Source organism: Homo sapiens, chromosome 2, assembly GCF_000001405.40.
Source record: "Homo sapiens chromosome 2, GRCh38.p14 Primary Assembly".
Lineage (NCBI taxonomy): Eukaryota > Metazoa > Chordata > Mammalia > Primates > Hominidae > Homo > Homo sapiens.
In genome coordinates this window covers 126611370-126635239 of record NC_000002.12, presented here as the reverse complement: position 1 = coordinate 126635239, position 23870 = coordinate 126611370, and the positions used below count along the sequence as shown (strand labels likewise).

At 39.5% G+C, this 23870-nt stretch overlaps 1 long non-coding RNA gene across 2 annotated transcripts in view; it reads left to right on the top strand.

Moving 5' to 3' along the window:
• The first annotated feature begins 884 nt into the window (after positions 1 to 884).
• LOC105373602 (uncharacterized) overlaps positions 885 to 23870 on the top strand; it is a 98601-nt gene continuing 75615 nt past the window's right edge. For both annotated transcript variants that reach the window (XR_001739693.1, XR_001739694.1), the window contains exons 1-2: positions 885 to 980; positions 2177 to 2290. This is a non-coding gene — a long non-coding RNA (uncharacterized LOC105373602). The remainder of the gene's footprint in view (positions 981 to 2176; positions 2291 to 23870) is intronic.

The following is a 23870-nucleotide window of genomic DNA, read 5'->3' as shown; positions in this document are numbered from 1 at the left end:
TTGGAAATGATGACCATCTGAAACATCAGAATTTTATTGTGCATGGCAACAATAAAAAAAAACATGAAATAGATTTTCTTTTGGTATAAGAATAAATATGACAGTGGACAGATATTTTGATATTCAGTCCTGAAGCTGTTAGTGTTTGTTTTCTCAGAAACATGAAACAATAGGTATGAAAGGCTTTTCTGCTTGGAAAGGAGAAAATGCAGTTAAAGAAAAACAGTACCATTTTAAATCATAGTTCTCTCTATATTGATGCAGCTTGAAGGGTGAAAATAAATTTCGCAAACTGGAATCTTGAAGGATGGTAATAAGCTAGATCAGAATATAGAAATATTTGCAGAATAGTAGATATTTAGACATCATTGAGTGCAACCCTCTCATCTACATATAATAAGAAAAGGGTTAATACTAAATATGAACTATTGTTTATCTCCCTATACACCTACCCACTCATCTATTCATCCATCTGTGGTTCCAATCATTTATGTATTCAACAGCCATTCACCTACAGTCCACGTGTGCCCGACACTGTGCTAAGTGTGGAGGACACAGAGGTCAATCAGATGCAGAATTGCCTTCAGGAAGAATAGCGTCAAGCAGTGGAGATAATAACTTTACAGTAAATCCCACACAGTGCTATAGATGTTTCCTGGATGCCTCGGCAGGGCTCCATTGGGAGACTGGAACGGAGTCCACGGTGTTCCTATAAAGATGTCTAGATCTTAGGTAAAGAGACTCCGTTTTGTACTTTTTCTTCAGACCCCACAGCAGTCGGCGCTGTGGAGCACAGGGAAGTGGCAGGTGATTAAAAATACTTGGTATGGAAGCAATTAAATCTTCTCCCATGGTTATTTCATTTTAGGGACACGACCAGCTCAGCCCTGTGGCCGTCTCCACCTGGTTCCATGTCACAGCCCCTTGATACATCTGGGCAACACTTTCTGATCTGTTTCTACCCGCCAAAACCAAGCCTGGTACATTCAGCCATTCTCTCTCAATCTCTCTCTCTCCTGTTCTTTTAATTTTACCTCTACTAATGAGTGTTTGAGACAACAGTAAACTCTTCTATAGTTTATAGCAATTCAGTCTATTTCAATTCTAGCCTTAGTTTCCTCCCTCAACTACCATTCAGACTGGCATACATCTATCATCTCTATGTCATCGTGAGAATTGTATGAGTTTGTTCATGTAAAGCACTAAGAACAATGTCTGACAAATAGTGGGCTCTCAACAGTTTTTTTTTATTAGCTAGTGTATCTTTGAGTACTTTTATGAAAATTTCTGAATAACAAATTCTGAAAAATCAAATTGCTGAGTGAAAGGGTAATAAATTTGAAATACAGAAAGATATTTGCTAATTGGCAATTTTCACTCCCACTTCCATAGAATATGAAAGTCCTTATTTCACCATCGCATGTCAATAGAGTATTGTATTAATCTGTAAAATATTAAAAATCCAATGTATGAAAAATAGCATCTTATAGCTAGCTTAATTTGTATTTTATTTTTTTATTTTTTATTTTTATTTTTATTTTATTTTATTATTATTATACTTTAAGTTTTAGGGTACATGTGCACAACGTGCAGGTTTTGTTACATATGTATACATATGCCCTGTTGGTGTGCTGCACCCATTAACTCGTCATTTAGCATTAGGTATATCTCCTAATGCTATCCCTCCCCGCTCCCCCCACCCCACAACAGTCCCCGGTGTGTGATGCTCCCCTTCCTGTGAAAAGCAAGCCTGCATACCTACTAGATCTATTCATATATAGCCTATTTGTGCTTTGTTTGTGAATGACCTGTTTAGGTTCTTTGCACACTTCTCTTTTTTGTTGATTCTCTATATTCTGATTGATTTACTGTAGTTATTTGTATATTGTGTATAACAATTTAACTGTTACATATGCAAATATTTTCTTCCTGTCATGGTCTTTTGACTATTCGCTACTGATCTCACTCTTTATACTACTTCCATTTATTTTTAGGATTGGACAGGGCATCAACCATGCAGCCAAGAACATTTATAAACACTTGACCACAATATTAAGAAAATTAGTTTGAGGTTATAGAAGAACTAATGTGGCAGGAAGACTTGAAGGGCTAAAAGTCTATAGAAAGGAGAAGCACAGAAAAGTAGTTCTGACATTTGGTATCACTTTGTCTCCAGAGGCATTTTCTCATAAACAAATGGTGGCTGAGAAAGCTGAGAAGAGATGATGACAATCTTTTGAGGCTGGGGAGAAAAATGAAGTTCACAACTCAGCAAAGAGGATGGGCTCTGGTAAGTGCCTCAGCATTTAGATGAGGTCTCTGACTTACCAACATTCATGTGATACATTTGTTATGATAAACCAATATAGATGCATTATTATGAACTATAAGTCCATAGCAATATGAAGGGTCACCCCTTGTATTATATAGTCTATGGGTTTTGACAAGTGCATAATATCATGTACCTGCCATTACAATGTCACGAAAAATAGTCCCACTGCCCTGAAAATCCCCTATGTTTCACCTATTCATCCTCCTCCTTCCCTGAGTCCTTGAAAACCATAGATCTCTTTTTGTTGTTTCTATAGTTTTGCTTTTTTCTAGAATGTCATACAGTTGGAATCATACAGAATGTAGTCTTTTCAGATTGGCTTCTTATGCATAGAAATATACATTTAAGGTTCTTTCATGTCCTCTTGTGGCTTAGAGGAAAAGCTCATTTTTAAAAATTACTAAATAATATTTCATTGTATGGACATATATTAAGTTTGTTTATTCAATATCATCTATTGATATACATTTTATTTGTTTTCAATTTTTTGCAATTATGATTAAAGCTGCTATAAACATTCATGTGTAGGTTTTTTGTGGATATAACCTTCCAATTAAATTGGTAAATGCTCTGAGTACAATTGCTAGATTGTATGAGAAGACTGTTTAGCTTTGTAGGAAACTGCCAAACTGTTTTCTAATGTGGCTGTACTATTTCGTATTCCTGCTAGGATGCCTTATACCCTTGCAGCACTTGGAATTGTCAATTTTTTTTTTTAAAGAAATTCTAATAGGTGTATAGTGGTACCACATAGTTACTGTAGTTTGCAATACCTTAACACATATAATGTTGAACAACTCTTGATATACTTATTTGACATCTAGGTACCTGTACAGATTATCTACTTATTTTTAATTGGGTTGTTTGTATTCTTATCATTGAGTTTAAGAGCTCTTTGTATATTTTGGATACAAGTCCTTCATTTGATATGTGTTTCGCTAAGATTTTTTCCCTACTGTTGTCTTTTCAGTCTCTTAACGATGTCTTTTCCAGAGCAGAATTTTTTAATTTTAGTGAAGTGCAACTTACGAGTAATTTTTATTCACGGATGGTGATGTTGATGTTGTGTCTAAAAACTCATTCCTAAACCCAAGGTCATTGAGAATTTATTCTATGTTATCTTCTAGATATTTTATAGCTTTGCATTTTACATTAAGTGTATGATCTACTTTGAGTAAATTTTTGTGAAAGACATACGGTTTGTATCTAGGTTCATTCTTTTTTTAATATGACAGTCCAGCTGTTTTAGTGAAATTTTTTGAAAAGGTGATATTTTTCTCCATTGTATTGCCTTTCTTCCTTTGTCTAGATCAGTTGACTATATTTGTGTCTATTTCTGGGCTCTTTATTCTGTTCTATTGATCTGTTTTCTATTCTGTTCTATTTGTCCATTTTTTTTTTTGCCAGTATGACACTGTCCTGGTTACTGTAGCTATTGAAGTAATGTTGAAGGTAATTATTGAAGTTAAGGTAGTGTCAGTTGTCCAACTTTGTTATATTTAGTATTGTGTTTGCTATTCTGTTTCTTTTGTGAGTTTTGATATAAACTTTAAAAAGAGTTTGTTGACATCCACAAAATAGCATCTTGGGATTTTTGGGGGGATTACATTGCATCTATAGTTCAAGTTGGGAAGAATGGACATCTTAGCAATATTGAGTCTTCCTTTCCATAAACATGGAATAGCTCTTCATTTATTTAGTTCTTATTTGATTTCTTTAATCAGTTTTGTGGGTTTCTTCATATTGATCTAGTGCATATTTTATTATATTTATATCTAAGTATTCATCTTTTGTTGTTATTATAAATGGTATTGTGTTTCTAACTTCAAATTCCAATAGTTTCTTGCTGATATATAGGAAAGCACTTGATTATTGTATATTAACAATGAATCTTGCAAACATGCAATATTCACTTCCCAGTTCCAGAAAGTTTTTTCTCCATTCTTTGAGATTTTCTACATAATCATGTAATCTGCAAAGACAATTTTATTTGTTTACTTTTCAATCTGTATACCTTTCTTTCCCTTTTCTTGTTTTATTGCATTAAAAGAACTTCAAGTATGATGTTGAGTAGGAGTAGAAAGAGGAGACATCTTTGCCTTGTTACTAATCTTAAGGGTAAATCATCTATTTTCCTACCATTGAATATGATGTTAGCTGTAGGGGGTTTTTAAAAAATAGATATTTATCATCTGGTTCAGGAAGTTTCTCTCTGCTGTTAGTTTACTGAAAGTTTTTAACATGAATTGGTGCCAGATTTTGTCAAATGCTTTTTCTGCATGTTTTGATATGATCATATGGTTTTTCTTCCTAGCCTGTTGATGTGTTGAATTGTATTAATTGAGTTTTCAAATGGTTGAATCAGCCTTGCATATCCATAATAAATTCCAATTGGTTATGGTGTATAGTTTTGTTTACATATTGTAAATTTGATTTAGCAATACTTTGTTGAGGATTTTTGCATCTATGTTCATAAAATATGTTGGCCTGTATTTTTCCTTTCTTGTAATGTCTTCATCTGATTTTGATAGTAAAGTAATACTCACCTTATAGAATAAGGTAAGAAGTGCTTCCTTTGCTACTATTCTTTGGGATGAGACTGTAGAGAATTGATATTACATCTTCTTCAAATGTTTGGAGGAACTCAACAGTAAAACCATCTAGGTTCAGTGCTTTGTGTTTTGGAAAGTCATTAATTATTGATTTAATTTCTTTGATATAGGCCAATTCAGATTTGTTATTTTTTTCTTGAAAGACAGCATCTCCATATTTTATTGTTCCATTTAATCTAAGTTATCAGATTTGACATCTTAGCAATATTGAGTCTTCCTACCCATGAACATGGAATATGTCTCTATTTATTTAGTCCTTATTAGATTTCTTTCCTTAGAGTTTTGTGGTTTTCCATTTCTTCTAAGTTATCACTTAGAAGTGTTTATAATATTCTCTTCTTTTCCTTTTAATATTCATAAAATTAGTAGTGATAATCCTTTTATTTCTGATATTATTAATTTGTAACTTCTCTCTTTCTCTTTTGGTTAGCCTGAGTAAAGGCTTATCAAATTGACCAATTTATTAATCAATTTTATTGATATTTTTAAAGAATCATGTTTTGATTTCATTGATTTTCACTACTGTTATTCTTTTATCAGTTTCACTGATTTCTGCCTTATCTTAAATGTTTTTCTTCTTGGTTTTAGGTTTATAGTTTTTTTTTTCTTCCAGTTTTCTATGATGTGAGCTTATATTATTAATTTTGTATCAATCTTATTTTCTAATGTATGCATTTTAATGCTATAAATTTCCTTCTAAGCACTACTTTTGCTACATTCCATAAATTTTGATAATTAGTATTTTCACTTTGATTTTGTTCAAAGTATATTAAATTTATCTTGAAACCTCTTCTTTGACCTATGTGTTATTCAGGCATATGCTTCATCTTCAATTATTTTGGGATTTCCCATATATATTTCTGTTATTGATTTCTAGTTTAATTCCACTGAGATCCGAGAGCAGAGATTGTGTGATTTCTATTTTCTAAAGTTGGTAAGAGGGTATTTATGGCCCCAAAAGTGATCTTCAATATTAAGTGCTCAATTTGAACTTCAAAAGAATATATTTCCTTTTGTAGTTGAATGAAATACTTTATATATGGCAAGTATTAAGTTTGTGCAAAAGTAATTGCGGCTTTGTCATTGCTTTTAAATGGAAAAAAAAACTTGTAATTTTTGCACCAACCTAATAGAACCAGGAGATCTATAGCATGGTTCAGTTAAACTATATCCTTACCAATTTTCTGCCTGCTGGATCTGTCAATGATGAAGGAATGTTGAAGTCTCCAAATATAGCAGTGGACTTATTCATTTCTCTTTGCAATTCTATCAAGCTTTGCCATATATATATATATATATTTTTTTTTTTTTTTTTTTTTTTTGACAGAGTCTCACACTATCACCTGGGCTGGAGTGCAATGGCACAATCTCAGCTCACTGCAGCCTCCACTTCCCAGGTTCAAGAAATTCTCCTGCCTCAGCCTCCTGAGTAGCTGGGATTACAGGCACACACTAACATGTCTGGCTAATTTTTGTATTTTTAGTAGAGATGAGTTTTCACTATGTTGGCCAGGCTGGTCTTGAACTCCTGACCTCATGATCCACCCACCTTGGCCTCCCAAAGTGCTGGGATTACAGGCGTGAGCCACCACACCTGGCCTGCCTCACATATTTTAATGCTTTGTCGTTAGACACATATGTGTTAAAAATTGTTATATATTTTTAAAGAAGTGACCCCTTAAACACTATGTAACGCCCTTCTTTATTCCTGATAATTTCCCTGAAGTTTGCCTTGTCTAAAATTAATGTGGCTATTCCAGCTTTCCTTTGATTAGTGTTATCTTGGTATATCTTTTTCTATTTCATTGCTTTTAATGTATATGTGTCTTTATATTTAAAATAGGTTTCTTGTAGACAACATGTAATTGGGTCTTTTAAAAATTCTCTGTGACAGTTTCTTGTTTTGTGTATTTGAGATATTCATATTTAAAGTGATAATTGATATAGTTAGATTAATATCTACCATGTTTGTAAGTGTTTTCATTGCCCTTGTTCTTTTTGTTTGTTTTTCACTCTTTTTCTGTCTTCTCTGGTTTTAATTGAGGATTTCATATAATTCTATTCATCTCTTCTCTTAGCATATAAATTATACGTCTTTAATATTGTTTCAAGTTGTTGAGCTAATGTTTGCAATTTACAACCAATTTAAGCTTACTTTCAAATAACCATGTACTTCTTCATGAGTAGTGCAGTTACCTTATAATGGAAGCGTTCTCAATTTCTCCCTTTTTTTCATATAACATTTTTGTTGTTCATTTCACTCATTCTTAAGCTATAATTACCCAATACCCTGTTGCTATTACTACTTTTGAAACTGCGCCCCAAAGAGTTAAAGAAATCAGTGACTAACAGAAATTCTTGAGTTTACAGGATGGCAGATAAGAAAAGAAACAACTTGCTAAAACATGGAAACTCCCTCAGCCTGTCAGATATCAAAAGTGGCTGAAATTGTTTGGCACAAATGTGGCTAACTGGAGTCTGCCAGAAGGAGCATGCTAATGTCACAGCCCAAATTTCCACAGAATGTTTTATACTAACTCCCCTTGAATGTGCACATGTGATTCATAAGGTAGCACAGAGAGATAACTGCACATGCTCAAGGACTTTTCAGACCTCTTTCCTTCCACCAATTCCCTACTAATCCCGGAATCCATGCACTAAACATTTTCTAGTAATATGATTGCCTTAAAGCACAGGGAGACAGATTTGAGCTGGACTCCTATCTCTTTGTTGGTTGACTTTATAAAAAGCTTTGTATTCTCAAAAACACCATGTCATAGTATTGGTTTCTAGTGCATAGGGCAGCAAGTCCTTTGGCTCAGTAACAATTTGAACTATTAGATTAATCAAAAATGAGAAGAAAAAGACTTTGTTCTACCTTTGTAATATTGTGATATAATTAAAAGATATATTTGATATTCATTCCCATTTTCTGGCACACAGCTCTTAAGCTCTTGGAAACCCTGAAGTAATAAGTGTCTTTTGTATGCTAATTAAATTACTGGTAGCTAGAGGGGGGTGGGGGTGTCTCAGATAGCTTTGGGATGGTTGCCAACTATGTATTACAGTGTCGCAACTTTAGTTCCACCTTCCAGGAAGAGGAGAGGGGCTGAAGGTTGAGTTGATTGCCAATGGTCGATGATCGAGACCAGGGGTCTCCAACCCATGAGCCATGGACCAATACTAGTCTGTGGCCTGTTAGGAACTGGGCTGCACAGCAGGAGGTGAGTAGTAGGTGAGCAAGCTTCATCTGTATTTATAGCTGCTCTCCATTGCTTGCATTACCGCCTAAGCTCTGCCTCCTGTCAGGTCAATGTCAGCATTAGGTTCTCATAGGAGCATGAACCCTATTGTGAATTGTGCATGTGAGGGATCTAGGTTGCACACTTCTTATGAGAATCTAATGCCTGATTATCTGTCACTGTCTCCCATCACTCCCAGATGGGATCATCTAGTTGCTGAGCTCCCACTGATTCTACATTATGATGGGTTATATAATTATTTCATTATATATTACAATGTAATAATAATAGAAATAAAGTGGACAAGAAATGTAATATGCTTGAGTCATCCCAAAACCATCCCCGCCTCATCCCCCACCCAGTCTGTGGAAAAATTATCTTCATGAAACTAGTCCCTTGTGCCAAAAAGGTTGGGGACTGCTATTCTAGTCAATCATGCCTACATAAAAACTCAAAAGAATGGGGTTTGAAGGTCTCTGGTTTGCTGAATGTGTGGAGGTACTGGGAGGGTGGCATACCTGCAGAACTCATAGAAGTTCCATGCCCCTTCCACCGTATCTTGCCCTATGCATTTCTTCCATTTGGCTGTTAAACGTTAGTGAAGTGTTTCCCAGAGTTCTGTGAGCCATTCTAGCCAATGGTTGAACCTAAGAAAAGGGTCCTGAGAACCTCTGATTTGTAGCCAAGTTGGACAGAAGTCGTGAGTGACCAAAGGACCTACTACTTGTGGGACACCATGGTGGTGGTGACCAGAGGACCTACTACTTGTGGGACACCCCGGTAGTGTCTGCAGAGAATTGGAGAATTGCCTGGTGTGTGATAAACCCCCACACACTTGGTCACAGAAATGTCCAATGCATAGTGAGTTAATACACAGATTCACTCAGTCTACATGGTTTGTTGCAGTTATAGATGTCAGAGGGTTTCAGTTTTCTTGTTAATTCTTTCTCTTCTCTTGTCTTTGTGTTTCCCTAAGAACTCTTTAAAGAGTTTGTGTCTTGTAGGTTTTTTGGTTGTAATTCATTGCAATTACACTGGAGCCTTGTTGGTGAGGTCGTAAGATATGGGGAGGGAAAGCATTATATATCATTAAATCTCAGTATCTTTATCATTAAATCTCAGTAATTTTTAGTGGGCCTGAGTCCTTGGGCTGTGACCTTCAGAAATGTGTCTTACCTTTTTGTATTCTATTTATGTGAGAAAGGGTGGTTGGTGGAGGCTTGGAGTTGTCTAATTGCCCTTCCCATGTGTCAGATAAGACTCTGGTAAAGTGGTTTCCTCTGTGCGAGGGCCTTTGTTAGGGGAGAAGAGAATGCTCCAGGCATATTTCAAAATGATGGGATTTCAAAATTTGAATGGGAATTAAACTATATATTTTGAATCCTTCAACCCACGAACATAGCATTTCTCTCCATTTACTTAATCTTTAATATCTCTCAGGACTGTTTTGTAGTTTTTCAGTGAAGAGGACTTAAACATCTTTCGTTAACTTTATTCCTAGGTATCTAAATACTCTTTAATGCTATTGTTAGTATAGTTGTTTTAAATGTTCTTTTCTAATTGTTGCTAACTACAGAAAATCAAATTATTTTTGTGTGAGACCATTTATCTTGTAGCCTTGCTAAATTAGTTTATTCAATATGTAAATTCATTATAGTTTTTATTTTGTGGTTTCACCAGGATTTTCTACATAAACAATCTTGTTTGCAAATATTGTCTGCAAACCTATTTACATTAAACATGTTTCAAATCATTTTATTATAAAACAAGTGATGATGTTAGCCCACCAATTGCAAGCCCTCAAGAGCCCTCTGTGGCCAAAGCCCAAACTCTCTGGCCTCGTAATAGTGGTCTCCATATCAGAAGGAGAAGAATCCACAAAGCAAAACAGCCTGTGATATTGTGTTATCCCAGAGAGGGTGCAGAGACCTCCCAAGGCAGCAGTGACCTCACTAAAGATCATGGTGTAGGTATAAAGTTTGTAATGAACTGGGAGTCTTGGTGGGTTCTGCCTTCCTCAGTCCATCAAGTTGGTCCTCAGGCTGGTTCCACTTGATACCAAGGTCAATGCAGCAGTTCTAGGACAAGCAGGTGGATACCTGCCACCCAACAATGTCTCTTGCCATTTGTTATGGTGCCTGAAATGCACATGGTCCCCTCCTGACATGCAAATTGAACTTTAGATTGGACTAATAAATCATCACATCAATTAATTAGCTAAAAAGATTTCAGATAAGGATGACTACATTAGGTCATTCTCAATAAATATAACTGCAGTATGAATTATTTAAATGAGAAAACAGGTTTAGAGACGTTCAGTGATTTTACTAATGCTACATGGCAATTTAATAACTGTGAAATGCTTCTTAACTTTCCTGTGAAAAGAAAAGAGCTGTGAAATCAGTGATTCTTAACTTTAAATATTGTATGCGTATGTGGATATTGTTTATCTCTGCTTTCATTTGTGTGTGTGATTGACTACATAGCTTCAGATTGTGCTAAAAACAGGCCACACAACCATCTTTATGTTGGATACAGGGAAAATGATGACTTTTAAAAGTTGACTATGGAGCTGTGAGGTCAGCTAGACTTCAACTTGAACCCTGCTTCCTTCACTTACTGACCTTTCGGAAGTGATTTCATCTCTCTGAGTCTCGGTTTCCTCATCTGGAAAATAAGGATGGTGATAACTATGTAAACCACAAATAAAATTCTCAATGCCCTGCCATCAGAATGGGCTTTCTCCTTGGCCAGGGCCCTGTTAAAATGTAACCCGGGATACTGGCTCAGGCCATGATGGGAAGTGGGGGTCAGACATGCTTCATTTTACTCCTCTGGCACTAACATCAACACAGACCAAAAGTCTGTTAAGAAACATTTACAATCTATCCTCTTTCTATCTGGATAATAAGAACTTTGGTCCCCACAATTCCTTATCTTAACCTAGACATTTCCTTTCTATGGATTCCAGGTCTTTAGATAACCAATTGTCAACCAAAATTTTTAAATATCTACCTATAAACTGGAAGCCCCCCACCTCCTTACCTCTCCTGCTGCCACTTTGAATTTTTCCCACTTTTCTGGACTGAACCAATGTATTTCTGAAATGTACTTGATTGAAGTTTCATGTCTCCCTAAAATGTATAAAACCAGGCTGCACCCTGACCACCTTGGGCATGTTTTCAGATCTCCTGAGGGCTGTGTCATGGGCCATAGTCACTCATATTTGGCTCAGAATAAATCTCTTCAGGTATTTTACAGAGTTTGACTCTTTTCATCAACAACTATACTGAAAGCCAGGGTTGCTCAATCTTGACACCATTGACATTTTGGACTGGATAATTCTTTCTTGTGAGGGGCTAGGATATGTAGCAGCATTCCTGTTCTCTACCCACAAGATGCCAGTGGCACCTCTCCTTCCCTTATTGTGACAACTAAAAATGTCTGCAGGCGTTGCCCTTGCCCCAGGAGGCATAATCACGGAGGTTGAGAGCTATTGCTGTGAGCATCACCTAATGTGTATTCAAGGTCTTCATGCAGTGTCTGGCGCAGCGTGTCCCTTGGAGAGTGTTAGTGCTGCTGCTTCTTCCCTGACCCCCATACCCTTTATGCCCAGGGATCAATTCCTTCTACTGTCATTTCTCCATGTTGAGAAAAACCTCTGCCATCATGACTGTGGGGAGAGGAATTTGCTGGGTTTGGAAAAAGCAACGGACCACCTCCTCAATTATGCTGCTTAGTCACCCAAATGGGTTTAAATTGGAGAGCAACCCTGGCAGTATCATTTTCCAAGCTGCTTCAAATACTGCATTTTTCTTCATATTTTCAATGGGCTTATTTACAAATTGCAGGCTCAGCTAAAAAATAACATGTATTATACGTGATAGCTGTGATTTTGTTTGTAGAGGAAGGTGCTGAATTTTTTTTTAAGGCCAGGAAGAAAATGCATGTTTAAAATGTGGGTTTTGAGTACAACCAGCAGATTTGGGATTCATTGCGGAGAAAACAGCCCATACAGGGGCACTGATTGGTGACTGTAGGACATAGGGCCCAGTGTGGAAGGATTGCATAGCTCCTGATTAAAATGCAGTCCCCAAGAAGTGAGGAGAGTAAGTGATAATGTCCACTTACAGACATTGGCCCCAGCTTTCAATAGTGTTGGTGGAAAAAAGACTCATACTCAGGAAACCATTGGGAGTGACTGAATTACAGCGCCCTGAGAAGTGAGTGGCATGTGGTGGTACAGTTGCTGTGGTTCAGAGAAAGGCTCTCAGGCTGTGAAAAAGCCAGGCCAGCCTGCCTGGAAATGAGTTCTGGGCCTTGGCTGGGTACCTGGCTCTGGCTGTCAAGGCAGAGGTATGGCTTGGGGATCATTTGTTACCTTGCCCCCAGTCACGAACAGATCCAGGGAGAGATTTAGAAATCATGGCTGCTAGGAGTTATTTGGGAGGAAAAACTCCATGCGGTGGGGCCCAGTTCTAATACCGATCTCTGTGTTTTAATGAGCACTCTGGGTGACTCTCTAGTAATCTCCACATGCATCTCAGCAGCATCATTTACTTGGGAGGTCTGTCTGTTGAGCAGCTACTTAGCTCTGGATTCGTTCAGCAACCTTTGATGTCAACCATATTACAATGCTTCAAATACACAATTCCAGCCTTAAAATGCCTAGGAGGTAGATGTTTTGTACTCATATTACAGATAAAAAGAAACATCTTCAAGGGGCTAACGGTGATGGTCTGTCAATAGTGGATTCACACTCAATTCCGTGTGACTCCAAAACCTATGCTTTTTTACCATCCACTGATGTAAAGGCTGTGATAGCATCTGGTTAGGTGAGGAAGCTCAGGCATGACTATATTTCACATAAGGTGCAGCCTGTTCCACAGGGGTAACCACACACCTAGTGCCTCTCACTGCCCAGAGTCTACCTAGGGAGTCCTTGTGATAGCGACAGGAGGCAGCCAAATGCCTAGGCTGTAGGAGTGGGTCCCTGGTGAAATCCCATTTTCAAGCCAAAAACAGTTTGAAGGCTGAAAGTCCGAACTGCTGATTCCAGATGAAACCTGCAACCCAGAGTTCACTCTTTTCTTTCCTAACTGACTCTTTCCTTTCCTAATTGTGCACCCTTTCCTAATTGACTCTTTCTGAATAATGCCTTTTAACCAATCGAATGCTGCCTTTTCCAATACTACCTATGGCCTGCACCTCCCCCATTCTGAGCCCATAAAAAGCCCTGGGCTCAGCCATATTAGGGCGACTTTGCCCCTTTGGGTAGGGGACCACCCCCGTGACCCCTCTCCACTGAAAGCTGTTTCATCACTCAGTGTAACTCCTCACCTTGGTCACTCTGTGATTGTCAGTGTATCCTCATTCCTCTTGGGAGTGGGACAAGAACTCATGAACCCATGCATAAGCCAGACGTGGCTCAGGTGGGCTGAGTGGGTGGGCAGTCTCCTGCAGCAGGTAATGTGGTCAGGCAAGGACCAGGCAGGGTGTCACTGGCTGGAGGTCCCTGGCTTGCAAAATGACTGAGAAGAAAATCCTGTGTCACTCAGAGGCTTCCAGGAGCCTCTGCTCACACTTTAAGCATCCTCCACACTGAAGTCCTATAATTCCCAGACCTCAGCACTAGTTGGCTGCACACAAATTATGTGGGGCACCTGTTAAGATGGTGATCCTAGGACCTTACCCTGGAGCTTCTGACCCAGTGGGTATGTTTACAGGACCCTCTAGACAACTGTGTATATGAGAATCTCTCAGCTGGTTCCGACATGCTGCCAGCTACCACTCCCATCCTTGACCCTCTGCTTGGGACACCCTCCCCCTGTCCTTCCCCAGCTGACTCCTGATCCTCAGACCTATTTACTCCCCATGACCCATGAGATTGAGCTCAGTGCCCCTCCCTGTGGCCCCATCCCGAATTCTAGTTTCCATCTCAGCAAGCAATTAATTTGTATGTGGAAATCGCCATTGCCTGGCCCGTGTCTGCTGCCCTGATACAGTAGTTCTCCACTGGGCTGATTTGACCCTCTCCAGGGGACCCTTGACAATATCTGGAGATGCTTTTGGTTGTCACAGCTGGGAGAGGGGTGTTACTGATGTCCAGTGGGTGGGGGCCAGGGATGCTGCCAAATATCCTACAATGCACAGGACAGCCCCATAATGAGGGACAATCTGGCCCCAAATGTCAGTAGTGCCACAGTGGAGAAGCCCTGCTTCAAGGTCAAGTCCCTCCGCTCTGCTTGCTAGCTGGGTGCTCCCCAGCAGGTTTCTCACCTCTAAGGCTCCATCCTCATCTATAACTGGGTTCCCACCTCCTCCCAGCTGTCGTGGGGCTTACAGGAGTGAATGTGTGCAATGTGCTCAGAACAGTGTCCAGCATGCAAGGGGCTGGTGACTGCTTGCTGGACCCACAGCTCCATTCCTGGTGGAGTTTTGGGCCTTTAGGGAGCCAGGGTCCCTCCAGCCATACCCCATGTAGTAACCAGTCTGCACTGGACTCTAGTCACACCAGTCTGGCCAGGGCTCGGCTACACTTGTGAGGAAGGAGGAAGGCAGTTCCTCTTTCCTCTGTCCTCCATTTCACAGCCCTCTGGTGAGATGGAGTTAGCCTTCTGTGTGTTTGACCTTGACTCAGTGGTAACTCAGCTCCAGGCTGGCACGTCATCTCATCAGGGCTAGTTAGGAGGAGATAAGAGAAAAGGGGCCTTTTCCCTCTAGGCTTCTTCTTTGAACTCTCAGGCCTGTTTGGAAGCAGTTTTTCTGTGATTTCCCAGATTTCATGGGTGCCTCCATGCCCCCTTCAAGTTTGCCCTGGGTCGTCCCTGGTCAGGCAGTTTGCTAAACTGGAGAAACAAGGCAAAATAAGACACACTCAATGATTGCCCAAGAAGGTCACAGACAAGCAGAACACACTGGATAAGGAAGTGTCAGGGTTTATATCAGGAGGCCCTCTCAGCTTAACACTCTTCTAGAATCTGGCTCTGAAACTCTGGGGCTAAAGGGCTACCAAGAACAGAGGATAAAGTCTCATCTCCATGGCCATTGTGACGGGGTCACTGCTGACTTCCTCATGAATACCACACTCACAATCATGAACATAGTTATTTCTGTACCCACTTCACCCCTGGGGACACTAAGGCACAGGCAGGTGAAGTGACTTGCCCAAGGGAGTTGAATACAGCAGTGCCAGTGTCTTTTACACATGACAATAACAAGTGACTCTGCCCACAGCTCCCGGCTGTCCTGCTCTTGTACTTGGCCATTGCAGGACCCTTCCAGGGAGAAATTGGTTCATGGCTCCTTCTTTCTACTCATGAGCAGATTACACTGGTTCATCTCTTTGCCTTGATGATAACCTACCAGCCATTCATATGCCTTTGGTAGGCACATTATCAGGCCCTTCCCCACCAGCCAGCATCCTCCACTGTCCTGCTTGTTTTGCTTGCAAGGAGATCTGACTTTCATCTTCAGAGGTAAATCAATGCCTCCACCCACATTGTTGATCAGCCTGGTTTATACACTGTTCCCAACCTTGCAAATCACTGCCGGGCAGCATCCTCAGTGCTGTTGAACCTGCTTATCTGACTAGGAAGGCTGGAGGAGCCAGGTCATAAAATTAAATGAAATTACTGCAGGAATTAGGGTGGTAGTGACAATGAGGTGGAATTATAACTTGGAGAATGGCAAGGGAGGTTTTTGATGCCCCAATGCCTATCTGCAAAGTCATTATTCAAATAGCTCCTGTTTTCCCTGATGTCTGGGGTTAGTATCACCCTTTGCTGGCTTGTGGAGTGCTAATGGCTTCTCCATATCTGTCCTCTCTGATTAACAGAATGTGGGCTTTGGAAAGGGCGTTGGGGTTTAGCTAATTCAACCCTCTCATTTTACAGATGAGCAAGCTGAGGCTCAGAGAGGTGCTGGGGCCTCCTCACTGTCAGAAGGTGTTAGTGACGGAACTGAAATGCAAACTCAGAACTCTTGGCCCAGTCTAGTGCCCCCTTTTCTACTCTATCACTTTAGAACTCTTTGTAAGGTTAACAAAAAATGGATTCACACACCATGGTGAATTATCATTTAAACAGGCAAAGCTGGGTGACAGGAGAGACTAGCAGAGAATATGACTTCCTCTGGATGGTATTTTGACCATTGTCACTGTTCTCTGCTGCAGAAATTGCTCTGCATGAAATGCCCAGCCTATGTCAGACCCAGAAGACCTGCTCTTATATTCACATTCTGTAACAATAAACACTTTTTTTTTCCTGGCACCAACTTTTTGCTAAGAAAGCCTAAGTCACAATGCCTGCCACAGTGAGCCCAGAGTCTACTAGGGAAATAGGCAAGTAAGCAAATTGCCTCCAAAACAGATGATGTATGTAGAGAGAAATGTGCCTAGAATCCAGAGGGTGGGCAGAGATGCTCAGAAGAGAGAGTGGTTGATATTATCTGGGGCTCTGGGAGGGCTTTCTGGAGGAGGCATTGCCTTGCCAAGAGAGCCTCTAGTCTGTGTGACAAGGACAACTCATCACCTCTCATTGCTGCTTTTCTTTCATGTTGTATTACTTTTGTCCTTGGTCTGATTGTCAGCTCTATGAGGAGTAGAATAAGACCTTTCTCTCTACATTTGGGGCCTTCATCGGTACACGACTCAGGTTTACACACCCAGTAGATGAACACAATGGAATGAATTGACTGTGCATGGCCCTGTGGAACATGGGCTTGGAGCTTCGATCTCATTATAGGTTCAATGGAGGTGATTATGTTTACCATGAAGGGTCATGTGGGTATTAAAATTATAGGAAACCCCTAGAAGAGTTGCTGGCATATGGAAGCTATTTTTTTTTTTCTTTTTGAGATGGAGTCTCAGTCTGTCACCCAGGCTCGAGTGCAATGGCGCAATCTCTGCTCACTGCAACCTCCGCCTCTGGAGTTCAAGCAACTCTCCCGTCTCAGCCTCTTGTGTAACTGGGACTACAGGCACCCACCACCACCCGGTTAATTTTTGTATTTTTAGCAGAGATGAGTTTTCACCATATTGTTCAGGCTGGTCTTAAACTCCTGACCTCAGGTGATCCACCCACCTTGGCCTCCCAAAGTGCTGGGATTACAGGCGTGAGCCACCATGCCCAGCCAAAGCTATTTTGAGTGCTGATTTGTATCAGGCACTGTTGCCTGGTGCATTCAGTGGTTGTAGGCATTTTGTTAGTTGTTGCAGAAACAATGTTTTTACTTTTCTTTCAAGAAGTAGCCTGTGTCCCCACTATCCTTACAAAGCTGTCCTGGACTAGTGGTAGCAGCATGGTAAGGAGCTGTCCATCCAGGACATCCCTGCTGGCTCTCAATGCAGAAGAGGTGGAAGAGCAGCCTCTGTGCTCACATGGGGTAATGGAGTCCCGTCTGTGGGACTTGCTGCGATGAGTCCTCATCTGCCTTTCTGTCCTTGGGGGATCTGAATGTAGACTTCAGTGAATTCTCAAACTTAGCTGGAATTTGCAGAAAATACCACGAATGAGATTTATTTCATGCTGGCCCCAAACAGCTCTGACCACATCGACGTCTATGGATGGAGAATTTGCCAGAAAAGCATGCGTTTTGGAATTATTTGGGGCTGGGCTCAAATCCCAATCCTGCCATTTTGGAATAGGGAGATCTTGGGTAGTTTCCTATCTTCTGAGTCTCAGGCCCTTTATCTACAAGAGCTGGGATATAAACACTGACTCTGTAAAATCACGGAGAGGATTATGAGATTATGTATGTACTAAGCTGGTAAATAGCAATGGCTCCACTTTCTGAGTCCTCACATGAAATCCTCTGGCGGAAAGCTAGTGCTGACATAGCTCACCTTTGACAAGGCTTGTCATTGTCTTGCAGCGGTGATGATCACCCAACAATCAGACCTTCGACAGGGTGGCTGATTGAGGGTGAGGGCACTGGGTGGGAGGCCTGGCCGCCTGGCTCTGGAGGGCCCTGTCAGCCTCCTGGTTGATGTGAGGGGCTGATTCTACACTGCCTCCTAGTTGCCCAGGCACATACAAGCACAAACCAGCCCCTCCATGCCTTTCTAATCTCTTTTTATAGAAAAGGAAGTGGTCAACAAGGGGGAAATTTTTAGGGCAATATCACAGTTCATTTTGAAAATGCTTCAGCCTCTCAAGAAATAAAAAAACACAAACCCCAAATAGACCCCCGCACCACCAACTGAATCACCTTGCCAGTCCTGAGGGCGTTTTTGCCTTTGGGACTCAGGATGGATGGCTCTCACGGCCTTGCCCACCTCCCCTCCACATTTGAGAAAACCTGTAATAATGATCCTCCCCCTAACCCTCTCCAGGGACTGTTCTAATCACTCTCTGAGCCTGCCTTCAAAGGAGACAGACAAGCATGACGCTGGCGATGGCAGATGAAGGCCGGGTCAGTGCAACCTCTGAATTCCCTCCTATGATCATGCTTGAAAAGAGACAGGCTCAGCTCCATTGAGACAACTAGAGGGTGATTAAATTATTCATCTAAGAGCCTTGGAGAGGCCTTTATGTGACATTTCAACCCAGTTTTTCAGGAAAAAATAGTACCACAGACAGGTGGTGACCATGTGAAGATTGATCAACCATACGCCCCAAATATAGCAGCTCCTCCTCAAAACCCCACAAAATGCAGGTGCCCTAGCCTCACAGACCTTGTCTTTACAAGTGGCATTTTTAGATTTCAGAAAGCTGCTAAAATCATCAGGTTTTCATTGCTGCAGTTATGACTTTGAATAACTTAAAGAAATCTTTTAGGAGAGAGAAAGAGCAAAACATAGCTAACAGAAGATTTCTTAAGGGTCGCTGTATGTTGAAGCAGGAATAATTCTCACTTGAGAATGACGTTATATGGATTGCAGCTCCCGTTCTTCATCCTACTAGCTGGTAAAAACTAGACCTCTCTAAAATTTTCTGGGCTTCAGACTCTGTCTACATGAATATTTTTCATTGAATCATATATCATAGACATTTTCTTATATCAATACATCATCGACCTTATTCATTTTAATGGTTACATGATATATTCCCAAGTATTGATGTATCATAATTTATTTAACAATTCTCATATTGAAGGTATCTTCTAATTTTTTTCCCTACACAAAACAATGTAGCAATGAACTAGCTTTCCTGTAGATCTATGCAAAGTTTGGAGAAAATTTTTATGGAATAGATGAGATAGATGAGAAGTAACTGAATTGCTGATTAAATGGGAAGAACATTTTATATTTTAATAGTTTCCACAAATTGTCCACCAAAAATGTTGCATCTGATTTACCCTTCCTCTGCCTATGTAGTTCAATTCCCTGCAACATGATGAGTTGTATATTACCATCTCCATTGCAAAGATGAAGAACCAGAGACAGGTTAAGTTTTCTTTATGTCACACAGGTATTATATAATCTAATGAAGATCTGCCCGAGGTGAGTTTCACTCTCTGTGCCATGATGGCTTCTCTCAGTGTCCACTGGTTTTCATGGTCCATGGAAATAAGGGTTCATTCATGGTGGGATGATAGAAAGCTAGGATCCTGCAGGAAGACATTGGGACTGAAATGGTAATACCATGAGTCACATTGTACAGGCAAGGCCACAACTAGACAAGTCATTATTTTAATTGGTTTTATTGAATGTTGGTTAGATACAAAATAATATATAATATGTGTATTAAATATAAAATAATACACATTACAATAAACGGCAGAATATCCCCATATAGTTTAAGAAACAGACATTACCAAAATCTTTGAAGCCCAGAGAGTACCTGTACCTTCCCTAGAGGTAACCACTATACCACATTTTTTTTTTTGTCAATAATTGTATTGGATTTCTCTATAGTTTTAACAACTGTGGCTGAATCCATATCAGGGTTACTATGGAATTCCTCAGAGAATGTGCACTGTCAAATTCCAAGGGTTATCTGCTGATGTGGTTAGTACAGGGCCAGCACAGCTCTGCCTTGCAGCACCCCCAAAAGGAATACAGTGTGTAGTTTTGCAAATTTCAAAATTTATTTAAATGGAATCATAACATATGCATTCATCTGCAACTTGCTTTGCACTACTCAACATACCCCTCTGAGAGTAAGTCACCATATGCTCACTGCCATAGTTCATTTATTTTCACTGCTATACAGTATTGCTTGGGATGAATGTACCCAAATCTTTAGGTATTCTCGTGTCATTGGGCATTTGGCTTTTTTCTGAGGTTTTGCTGTTATAAACAGTGCTGTTATGAACATTTCATGGACAGTCCCTGGAGCACATCATGTGTGGAAGCATTCCATAAATTCCTAGGAAAGGAATTCTTGCATTTTTGAAATGCACATCTTCAATTTCACTGGATAAATGCCAGATTGTTACTCCACAGCAGTAGATAGTTTTTTCCTAACATCCTTGCCAAAACTTGATATTGTGAGACTTTGAAATTTTTGCCAATTTGGTGGATGTAAAAACAGCATTTAATTGTGGTTTTAACTTTCATTTTCCTGACTAATGATGAGTTGAGCAGCTTTTCATGTATTTTTTAACCTTTGGCATTTCTTTGTGAAGTATTCCTTCAAGTCTTTTGCATGTTTGTCTTTTGTGAATTACCTTTTTCCTATCAGTTTGCAGTAGTTCTTTAAATACTCTGTGTTCTATTTCTTTGTCAGTGATATATGTTGCAATTTTTTTTTTCAGTTGGTGGCTTATGTTCAAAACATAACATGGTTCCTTATAATAGTCAGAAGTTCTTAGTTTTAATATGTTTACTTTTTTATGATTTGCCCTTCTTGAATCTTAAGAAACCCATTTCTATCCTGAAGTCAAAGATATTCTTTCATATAGCATTCTAAGATGTTTATAGTTTTGTGTTACAGATTTAAATATTTAAAGCATCTGGAATTAATGTTTATGTATGACGTGAGGTAATACATATTATCTATAAAATTTCCTTTCTTCCTTCCTGTTTTCTTTCCCTCTCTCTCTTGTTCTTAAACTTTTCATTTATTTGTCTATTCCTATTGCATGGTAAATCACTAGTAAATGTTGACTAGAAATGGTGATAACAAGTACCCTGGAATTTTCCTGTTCATAAAGAAAATGCTTTCATTTTTCCATTTATTTAGTGTGTGATTCATGTTTTAAATTGCTGGTAGATAACAGATGGATTCACAGCTGAATTCTATCAGAGGTACAAAGAGGAGCTGGTACCATTCCTTCTGAAACTATTCCAAACAATAGAAAAAGAGGGAATCCTCCCTAACTCGTTTTATGAGGCCAGCATCATCCTGATACCAAAACCTGGCAGAGACACAACAAAAAAAGAAAATTTCAGGCCAATATTCCTGATGAACATTAATGCAAAAATCCTCATTAAAATATTGGCAAAACGAATCCAGCAGCACATAAAAAAGCTTATCCACCATGATCAAGTCGGCTTCATCCCTGGGATGCAAGGCTGGTTCAACATATGCAAATCAATAAATGTAATCCATCACATAAACAGAACCAATGACAAAAACCACATGATTATCTCAATAGATGCAGAAAAGGCCTTCGACAAAATTCAACACCCCTTTATGCTAAAAACTCTCAACAAACTAGATATTGATGGAACATATCTCAAAACAGTAAGAGCTATTTATGACAAACCCACAGCCAATATCATACTAAATGGGCAAAAACTGGAAGCATTCCATCTGATAACTGGCACAAGACAAGGATGTCCTCTCTCACCACTCCTATTCAACATAGTATTGGAAGTTCTGGCCAGGGAAATCAGGCAAGAGAAAGAAATAAAGGGTATTCAAACAAATAGGAAGAGAGGAAGTCAAATTGTCTCTATTTGCAGATGACATGATTGCATATTTACAAAACCCCATCATCCCAGCCCCAAAACTCATTAAGCTGTTAAGCAACTTCAGCAAAGTCTCAGCATAAAAAATTAGTGTGAAAAATCACAAGCATTCCGATACACCAACAACAGACAGAGAGCCAAATCATGAGTGAACTCTCATTCACAATTGCTACAAAGAGAATAAAATACCTAGGAATACAACTTACAAGGTATGTGAAGGATCTCTTCAAGGAAAACTACAAACCACCTCTCAAGGAAATAAGAGAAGAAGCAAACAAATGGAGAATCATTCCATGCTCATGGATAAGAAGAATCAATATTGTGAAAATGGCCATAGTGCCCAAAGTAATTTATAGATTCAATTCTATCCACATCAAGCTACCACTGACTTTCTTCACAGAATTAGAAAAAAACTACTTTTAATTTCATATGGAACCAAAAAGAGCCTGAGTAGCCAAGGTAATCCTAAGCAAAAAGCACAAAACTGGAGGCATCATGCTACCTGATTTCAAACTATACTACAAGGCTACAGTAACCATAACAGCATGGTACTGGTACCAAAATAGATATATAGACCAATGGAACAGAACAGAGGCCTCAGAAATAACACCACACATCTACAACCATCTGATCTTTGACAAACCTGACAAAAACAAGCAATTGGGAAAGGATTTAATAAATGGTATTGGGAAAACTGGTTAGCCATATGCAGAAAGCTGAAACTGGACCCCTTCCTTACACCTTATACAAAAAGTAACTCTAGATGGATTAAAGACTTAAATGTAAGACCTAAAACCATAAAAACCCTAGAAGGAAACCTAGGCAATACCATTCAGGACATAGGCATGGGCAAAGCCTTCATGGCTAATACACCAAAAGCAATGGCAACAAAAGCCAAAATTGACCAATGGAATCTAATTAAACTAAAGAGCTTCTGCACAGCAAAAGAAACTATCATCAGAGTGAACAGGCAACCTACAGAATGGGAGAAAATTTTTCCGATTTATCCATCTGACAAAGGGCTAATATCCAGAATCTACAAAGAACTTAAAAAAATTTACAAGAAAAAAAACAAACAACCCAATCAAAAAGTGGGCAAAGGATATGAACAGACACTTCTCAAAAGAAGACATTTATGCAGCCAACAAACATGAAAAAAAGCTCATCATCACTGGTCATTAGAGAAATGCAAATCAAAACCACAATGAGATACCATCTTATGCCAGTTAGAGTGGTGATCATTAAAAAGTCAGGAAATAACAGATGCTGGAGAGGGTGTGGAAAAATAGGAATGCTTTTACACTGTTTGTAAGAGTGTAAATTAGTTCAAGCATTGTAGAAGACAGTGTGGCGATTCCTCAAGGATCTAGAACTAGAAATACCATTTGACCCAGCAATCCCATTACTAGGCAAATACCCAAAGGATTATAAATCATTCTACTCTAAAGACACATGCACACATATGTTTATTGTGGCACTGTTCACAATAGCAAAGACTTGGAAGCAACCCAAATACCCATCAATGATAGACTGGGTAAAGAAAATGTGGCACATATACACCATGGAATACTATGTAGCCATAAAAAGGATGAATTCATGTCCTTTGCAGGGACATGGATAAAGCTGGAATCCATCATTCTCAGCAAACTAACACAAGAACGGAAAACCAAACACCACATGTTCTCACTCATAAGTGGGAGTTGAACAATGAGAACACATGGACACAGGAAGGGGAACATCACACCCTGGGGCCTGTCGGGGGTTGGGGGCCTAGGACAGGGAGAGCATTAGGAGAAATACCTAATGTGGATGAAGGGTTGATGGGT